The sequence below is a fragment of the Homo sapiens genome, chromosome 19 (assembly GCF_000001405.40).
Source record: "Homo sapiens chromosome 19, GRCh38.p14 Primary Assembly".
Taxonomy (NCBI): Eukaryota; Metazoa; Chordata; class Mammalia; order Primates; family Hominidae; genus Homo; species Homo sapiens.
In genome coordinates, this window is record NC_000019.10 from 15,710,859 (window position 1) to 15,720,218 (window position 9,360).

The window sequence follows — 9,360 nt, forward strand, 5'->3', positions numbered from 1 at the left end:
TTCAGGAAAGCAGCAGGATTCCAAATCAACCTACAAAATCACTAGTGTTTCCATACACAAATGATGAGCTAGCAGAAAAAGAAAGAAACCAATGCCATTTACATTAGGTAGATATGTATATGTGTTTATATATATGTGTGTGTGTGTGTGTGTGTGTGTGTGTATATATAAAATTTCTTAATAAATTTAACCAAGTAGTTGAAAGATCTCTGCAAGAAATACTATAAAACACTGATGAACGAAATGGAAAAGGTCACCAAAAAATGGAACATCATCTCCTGTTCATGAATTGGAAGAAATAATATTGTGAAAATGACTCTACTACTAAAAGCAATATATAGAGAGAATGCAATTCCTATGAAAATACCAATGAGATTTTTCACAAAATTTCAAAAAATTCTAAAATTTATGTGGAATCACAGAAGACTCCAAATAGCAAAATCCGTCCTGAGGAAAAAGAACTTAGACGGAGATATTACACTACCAACTTCAAATTATACTACAATGCTGTAGTAACCAAAAACTTATAGTACTGGTATAAAAAGAGATGCATAGATCAATGGAACAGAACAGAGAATCCAGAAATACATTCATGAATTTAGAGCCAACTAATTTTTGACAAAGGTGCAAAGACCATTCAGTTAGAAAAAAACAGTTTCTTCAATAAGTCGTGCTGAAAAAACTGGATCTTCATATTTAGAAGAATGAAACTAGACCCCTAACTCTCACCCTATTCAAAAATCAAATCATGATGGATGTATTAGTCAGGGTTCTCTAGAGGGACAGAACTAATAGGATAGATGTGTGAACCCCATTTCTGGTGCCAAAATCTGTATTAGTCAGTGTTCTTTAGAGGGACAGTACTAGTAGGATAGATGTATGCATAAAGGGGAGTTTATTAAGGATTATTGACTCACACGATCTCAAGGTGAGGTCCCACAGTAGGCCATCTGAAAGCTGAGGAGCAAGGAAGCCAGCCCGAGTCCCAGAGCTGAAGAACTTGGAGTTTGATATTCAAGGGCAGGAAGGATCCAGCAATGGAGAAAGATGTAGGCTGGGAGGCTAAGCCAGTCTAGTCTGTTCACATTTTTCTGCCTGCTTTTATTCTGGCTGCACTGACAGCTGATTAGATTGTGCCCACCCAGATTGAGGGTGGGTCTGCCTTTCCCAGTCCACTGACTCAAATGTTAATCTCCTTTGACAACACCCTCACAGACACACCCAGGAACAATACTTTGCATCCTTCAATCCAGTCAAGTTGACACTCAATATTAACAATCACAATAGATTACAGACTTAAATGCAAGACATGACACTTTGAACTAGTAGAAGAAAATATTTGGGAAACACTTCAGAACATTGGTCTGGGCAAAGATTTTTTGGGTAAGACCTCAAAAGCACAGGCAACAAAAACAAATAGACAAATGTGATCATATGAATCTAAAAAGCTTCTGCACAAGAAAGAAACAAATCAACAAAGTGAAGAGACAACCTACAGAATGAGAAAAAATATTTGCAAATTATCCATCTGACAAGGGATTAGTAACTGGAATATATAAAGAACTTTACTCAATAGCAAAAAAAAAAAAAAAAAAAAAACAAAAAAAAAAAAACCAAAATCATTCTATTAAAAAAATTAGGCAAACTATCTGAATAGACATTTCTCAAAAGAGGAGATACAAATGGCAAATAGATACATTAAAAAATGCTCAACATCACTAATCATCCAGGAAATGCAAGTCAAAACCATGGTAAGATATCATCTCACTGCTGCTAACATGTGTAATTCTTTTTATACATTGTTGGATTCGATTTGATATTTTGTTGAGGATTTTGCATCTAGGTTTGTGAGCAATATTAATCTGTATAATTTTTTGTTTCTTAATTTCTTCTTTTTTTTCTTCTTTCTCTTTTCTTTGATTTCTTGTAATGTCTCTGTCTGTATGTGGCATTAGGGTACCGCTGGCCTCATAAAATGAGTTACGGAATATTCCCCCTGCTTCTGTCTTTCAAAAGACACAGAAGAAAATTGGTATAATTTCTTCCTTAAATGTTTGGTAGGATTCATCAGTGAGCCAACTGGGGTCTTGGCTTTCTGTTTTGGAAGGTTATTAATGATTGTTTAATAGATATAGGCCTATTTGGATTATCTACTAGCACTTTCCTTTTCTTCCTTTCTTTCCCCTTCTCATATCTTTTGGATAGATGGAAGGTGAATGATGGTATATAAATGTGATTCAAAATTATGTAGCTGATAAAAATTGTAACATTGATAGAGAAATATAGGCCCTATATGCATTATTTAAATACCTATATAATAAGCATAAAACATGTTTATGCAGTAAGTACAAAGATTAAAGGACAATATGAAAAGTGTAGTTAGGTGAATCTTACAAGTTATTTAGAGAATGTGGAAGGCTAGTTAAACAGAGTGACATACAGAAAAGAAGACTAGTATTAAATCAGTGGCAATATCCTTCTGTGTTCGGCCACTCTTGTGTTCCTATAAAGAAATACCTGGCTGGTGTATATGTGCCATATTTTCTTAATCCAGTCTATCATTGTTGGACATTTGGGTTGGTTCCAAGTCTTTGCTATTGTGAATAATGCCGCAATAAACATACGTGTGCATGTGTCTTTATAGCAGCATGATTTATAGTCATTTGGGTATATACCCAGTAATGGGATGGCTGGGTCAAATGGTATTTCTAGTTCTAGATCCCTGAGGAATCGCCACACTGACTTCCACAATGGTTGAACTAGTTTACAGTCCCACCAACAGTGTAAAAGTGTTCCTATTTCTCCACATCCTCTCCAGCACCTGTTGTTTCCTGACTTTTTAATGATTGCCATTCTAACTGGTGTGAGATGATATCTCATAGTGGTTTTGACTTGCATTTCTCTGATGGCCAGTGATGATGAGCATTTTTTCATGTGTTTTTTGGCTCCATAAATGTCTTCTTTTGAGAAGTGTCTGTTCATGTCCTTCGCCCACTTTTTGATGGGGTTGTTTGTTTTTTTCTTGTAAATTTGTTTGAGTTCATTGTAGATTCTGGATATTAGCCCTTTGTCAGATGTGTAGGTTGCGAAAATTTTCTCCCATGTTGTAGGTTGCCTGTTCACTCTGATGGTAGTTTCTTTTGCTGTGCAGAAGCTCTTTAGTTTAATTAGATCCCATTTGTCAATTTTGTCTTTTGTTGCCATTGCTTTTGGTGTTTTGGACATGAAGTCCTTGCCCACGCCTATGTCCTGAATGGTAATGCCTAGGTTTTCTTCGAAACCATCATTCTCAGTAAACTATCGCAAGAAGAAAAAACCAAACACCGCATATTCTCACTCATAGGTGGGAATTGAACAATGAGATCACATGGACACAGGAAGGGGAATATCACACTCTGGGGACTGTGGTGGGGTCGGGGGAGGGGGGAGGGATAGCATTGGGAGATATACCTAATGCTAGATGACACGTTAGTGGGTGCAGCGCACCAGCATGGCACATGTATACATATGTAACTAACCTGCACAATGTGCACATGTACCCTAAAACTTAAAGTATAATTTAAAAAAAAAAAAAGAGAATTGTCCAAGTGAGAAAGACAAGGAGAGAATATAAACATTAAACTAATGCTGAGGTTGGTGCACAAAAAAAAAAAAAAAAAAAAAAAAAAAAAAAAAAAAAAAAGAAATAACTGGCTGGGTATGGTGGCTCATGCCTGTAATCCCAGCATTTTGAGAGGCCAAGGCGGGAGAATAGGTTGAGGTCTGGAGTTTAAGACCAGCCTGGGCAACAAAGCAAGACTGTATCTTTAAAAAGAAAACAAACAAACAAACAAAAAGGAAATACCTGAGACAGGATAATTTATAAAGAAAAGAGGTTTAATTGAATCATGACTCTGTAGGCTGTACGGGAAACATAGTGGCATCTGGTTCTGAGGAGCCCTCGGGGAGCTTTGACTCATGTTAGAAGGCAAAGCAGGAGCAGGCACATCACATGGCATAAGCAGGAGCTAGAGAGCAGGGGCAGGTGCAACACACTTTTAAATGACCAGATCTTGTAAGAACTCACTAACACGAAGGCTGCACCAAGCCATGAGGGATCTGCCCCCATGATCCAAACACCTCCCACCAGGCACCACATGTAGCACTGGGGATTACAATTCAACATGAGATTTGGGCAGGGACACAGACCCAAACCATATCAACCTCTAATGCCAGTAGAACCACTGACTAGCTTCAGGATCTCAAGAAAGGATTTTAAAGCTCAAATAGTCCCAGCACTGTAATAATTACAGGAGAAAATGTAACTACAATGTTTGGAAGTAGCGTCTACTCAATAATTGTGATTCTCTGTTCTTGTCCAATCCTATGTTTAATATAAAAACTCAACTAAAGGTAAGTAAAAGCACTGGGGAATGACCTTGCCATGTGGTATTAAGGAGAAGATTCTCAAGCACAACTGCCTCAGTTGAAATTACCAAATCTGCATATAGAAGGAAGATGTGAGATTTTTTATTCAAAGTTAACTAGAAACCCAGCATGAGGCAGATGGCTGGGAGCAGTCCAGGGAGTGTCCAAGATCTGACACAGAAAATCATGTTCGGAGGGGAGGCTTGTTGCTCATTCCCTTTTGTGTCCAGCTGCCTGGGTTCCCTTCTCCACCGTTTTATTTGATAATAAGCTATCTGGAGAACTTGCTGAGCCCAGTGCTGAGCCAAGAAGAGAAATATGTGAGCTTTGAAGGTGCAGTTTCATTTCGAGGAATAGAGAATATCTATTCAAAGTTGGGGCAGTTCAGAGCAGAGTGAGCTGCAAACTGTTGTGCAGGTATGGGGCTGGAAGGCTTCATACAACCTCATAGTCCTGGGACCCAAACTTTTATTCAGACCATGGAAGCAGGTGTGACAAGAGTTGGGCAAGGCAGACCTTTAATTCACCCTGATAGGCTGGAGTGTGGGCTTATGGCATTTCTCCTTTGACCCAATTAACCTCCACTCCCAATGTATCTCTGTGCAGAAGGCTAAGCTAGGTGTGTCAGACATTGTAAATCCTCAACATAAATTATAATTTAACCTAGAATACAGAGACTATGTAGCAGGAGGAGAGGAAATGTGGAGATATTAATCTCTTCTCCCTTATCAGAAAGGAACCTAGCGTAAGAAATTTCATGCTTAATAGGCCAAAGAGTAAATCAGAAAACTCCATGGGTGATGGTATGCTCATGGTGGTGGTGGTGGTGGTGGGGAATTCTTTGCCCTGTGACCTCCCTTGGATTAATTTGTCCCCAGCACAATGGGAAAAAACATTTAATCCTCGGAGTTTTAAAAATTTATTTATTTATTTTTTGCCTGAGAGTGACTCTGATCCTGTTTCTGACGGTCATGTTCGTCAGCATTGTAGTGAGTAAGTCACTGGCCTTGTAGCTTCTGGAGTGATGGGAGTGATCCAAGATCCCCAGTTCCCATGTCACAAATGAGGATCCCACACATCTGGGGCAGCGATGGAAAAGGAGGCATGGCTGGAGGGTTAGGGTAGGCTAATTGCTGCTGGGATGGGAGAGGATGCAGAGGGAGCTGTGTCCCTCCTCTCTATCCCCAGCTTTGGAGGAACCACGTGTGCTTTGTCAGCTGAAGTTGGAGCAACATTCAATGGTGAGTGCCCTCTTACAAACAGCTCAATGTGAACATAATGAGAACACCAGGGTCTGCTGGAGGCAGAGTGGCCTGGTGGTAAGAACTCAGGCTCTGGGGTCAGGCAGAGCTGGTTCAAGTCCTGGCTCTGCATCTTCTAAGATGCACATCTCTTGGTTAGAGCCTTAACCTCACCAAACCTCAGTTGCACCATGTTCACAGTATCCCACCTCTGAGGCTGCTGTTGGCAGTAATGAGATGATGTGGACAGTCTCAAGAGGTGGCACATGGTCACCTCTAGGAGGAAGGGCATCAGGTGTGTGTAGAATGTAGTGTGGGCTTGGGGCAGGAAGTGAGGGAGTGGTGAGAGATGAAGAGAGGTGAGGAGAACTTCTAGAATTGAAGGTAGCTACTCTTGTTACAAAAGCAGCTGACGGGCTGTATTAGGGATCTCTAGAGGGACAGAACTAATAGGATAGATGTATGTATAAAGGAGAGTTTATTAAGGGATATTAACTCACACAATTATAAAGTCCCACAATAGGCCGTCTGCAAGCTTAGGACCAAAGAAGCCAGACCTAGTCCCAAAGCTGAAGAACTTGGAGTCCGATGTTCAAGGGCAGGAAGCATCCAGCATGGGAGAAAGATGTAGGCTGGGAGGCTAAGCCAGTCTAATCTCTCCACATTCTTCTGTCTGCGTTTTATTCTGGCCACTCTGACAGCTGGTTAGATGGTGCCCACCTGGATTGAGGGTGGGTCTTCCTCTCCCAGTCCACTGACTCAAATGTTAATCTCCTTTGGCAACACCCTCACAGACACAACCAGGACCAATACTTTGCATCCTTCAATCCAATCAAGTTGACACTCAGTATTAACTGTCACAAAGGCCCACAGAGCTGGACCCCATCCCAGACGCTGACTGCATGGCCCTCTCCTACCTCTGAGGTTGTCTTGACCACCTCACCCTCAAAACCCCTAGAGTCAGCCACCGCAGTGCAGCTGAGCTCACTGGGGGTGCTTCTGGCATTCTGAGTCAGGGGATAGCGGGCCTGATGTCAGGGGTGAGGAGAGCTGGTCCTGGGGGCAGTGTGCTGCAGTGGGAGCTGGACAAATCCCCTGATCCTTGGGGGCTGAAACAGGAGCTGGAAGGAGCCTGTGTCAAAACATGGACCTGGGAGGGTTTCCAAGTTTAGAGAAGCCTGGAGCCCGCTTGAGGACTGGGGATCAGGCATTTGACCTCCTCCACCACCCAGTAGCCTCTGAGACACTGACATAGCTGCGGGAAGAGCTAAGTAGCAATAATGAGCATAATTTGGAGACTCAGGAGACACCATCCTAGGGACCCAGGTCGTCCTCACCGGCCCCTGACAGCTCCTTGCTTGGGTCTCCCAGTGACCTAGGAACAGGCTGATGTGAAGTGCAACCCAGACTTCATCCTGTGCCAAGTATTCTGGGAAGTGAGAGGAGGGTGCAGGGGTCATAGAGGGTCTGCCTCATTCAGCACCAGGGACAGCGATCGACCCCGGACTCCTTGGCCTCTGTGGCTGCAGGGACACTGGCTCAGGTGCATCCCATACACTCCTGCAGTTCAGAGTCCAAGGCGTGAGCACCTTGCAGGGTCCCACAGAGTGGGGGCTTGGGAGGAAAGATGACACCATGGACTGGAGCAGAGCATGAGTTGATGAGGACAGGACCACAGCTAGGATATATAGCAAATGTCCAGTCCAGAAACCATGGAACCAGAGTTAAGGAAGAAGCATTGTGCTGAAGGAAGGCAAATGTACTCAAGAATCCCCCAGAAGGATGGAGTGAAGTTCTGGTAAAGGGAATGGAAATCAAGGAAAACTCAAAGACAGAAGGGAGCCAGAATATGGGTGCCATTGAATGTCCTGCTGAGGAATTAGGACTAAATCTTCTAGACAGTGTTTCTGCCAGTGTGCCCTTTGGGATGCTAGACACCTCAGATAATATATATTCAGAGGACTCTGGATATCACTAAGCTTGGCAAAATGACACATTGTCCATTATCCTCCTAAAAATTCACAATTATTATAACATATTAAAAGTACTATGACTCCCTGCAATAAAGAACTTCCTGTTTCATATTGCTTGATCCATAATTTAGACACACACACAGACACACACACTTGCAATTTAAAAAAAAACAGTAGGCATGACAATAGGAGAAATGACAGCCAGTTTGGTTTATGCCAAAATTAGACCCTTGAGGCAGTTGAGAAATTGTCTTGTTGGAAAACCTCTCCAAGCTCCAGAAAGGGGAATTTACAAGGTCTCAAGTATTCTCAAAGCCCAAAAAGAGTTTCATGTGAAAGTTGAAGCTGAGCCATCTTTCCACTTGTAAATGTCCTTCAGGTACCATCTCCTGAGGTCAGTGCAATAATAGTCACCATCTTTAGTTGGAGTGATGAAATTCTGCCTAAGAAAAAGATATAGTCAAGAGATATGTGGGACCATAGCTAAGACCAGGGGTTGGGTCGTCTTCTAAAAAGAACAAGACACAGTGGACCCCACAGACAGGGGCCATTGTCAATGTCACAGTTGAATGTACTGGCTGAATGCTCTGGCTTGACATCCATCAGAACCATTATTAAGGCGTATGTGATCATTCAACTCAGACACATATGACACTCAAGCACCTTGTCTGAAAATGGAGAAAACAATGACATTCGCCTCAAAGGCTCAGTGAAGAAATAAGGGCACAGTGTAGTGCCTAGCTGAGTGTGGGATAAGTGGTAATTAAGAATATTATTAAATGGTATTGATAAAAAGGTAAGGAGTTTGGCTCTACCCAGTATAAATGGTTAGGTGAATCAACTAGTCCACTGACATATATGGAGTCCTGCTGAGTGTCAACTCAAGTTCCAGGCACTATGGACTCAAAGGTGAGTCAGATCAAGCCCTTGCCCCTGGAAGATTGCTCATGTGTGGGGTGATGCACCTGTGATCTGACAGCACAGTCCAGAGTTGCATCCTGAAATGAAAGCAGGTGCTGTTAACATTAGCCTCCCAATTGGCAGATGGAGGTGCAGAGAGATCAATTCACTTTACCAAAGCCACACAGCCAGGAAGTGGATGAGCCAGGATTTGAACCTTAGTCTGTCTGAGATGAGTCAGTGCTGTGAAGCAAGGAGCTATCCAGGCTATGCTACAAGTCTCCCCTTAATCATTAATCTGTGTTTAAGAAACTGAAGAGAAACAAACAATTCGCAATGGTGATCAGCTGGTCTCTGTTTAAAGAAGAAAACAAGCCCCTGGAGCATTCAACCAAAGTGATGTCATGGGGTCTCCAAACCAGGCAATTAGTAAAATTTATCTGAACCTGCCACCTCCAGCCCTGCTCTAAAGCTCTCAGTGCACATCGTTCAAAGCCCCCAGGTATCTTTTCTGGAGGACACAGCAGAGAAGAACATGGTTAGAGCCTTGATTGGTATTAAAGATCCCAATGGGACAACTGTCTGCACAACTCGCCAAACTCCACTGCATAACAATCCCCAGGAAGCCAATTCTAAGTTTTGATAGTGAACAAGCCATGGGATTTTCACTAACACCTGGTGACTCATTAAAAGTTGACACACAATTTCCATCTCCACTTCATTTTTTTTCTTTTTTTTTTTTTTGCAAATGAAAGGGTCTCTAAGGATCAGCTACAGAGCTGCAGGGAGGTTAGGTTTGAATGCATAGCTCAGGGATTAAGTGGAGACAGAAACACGGC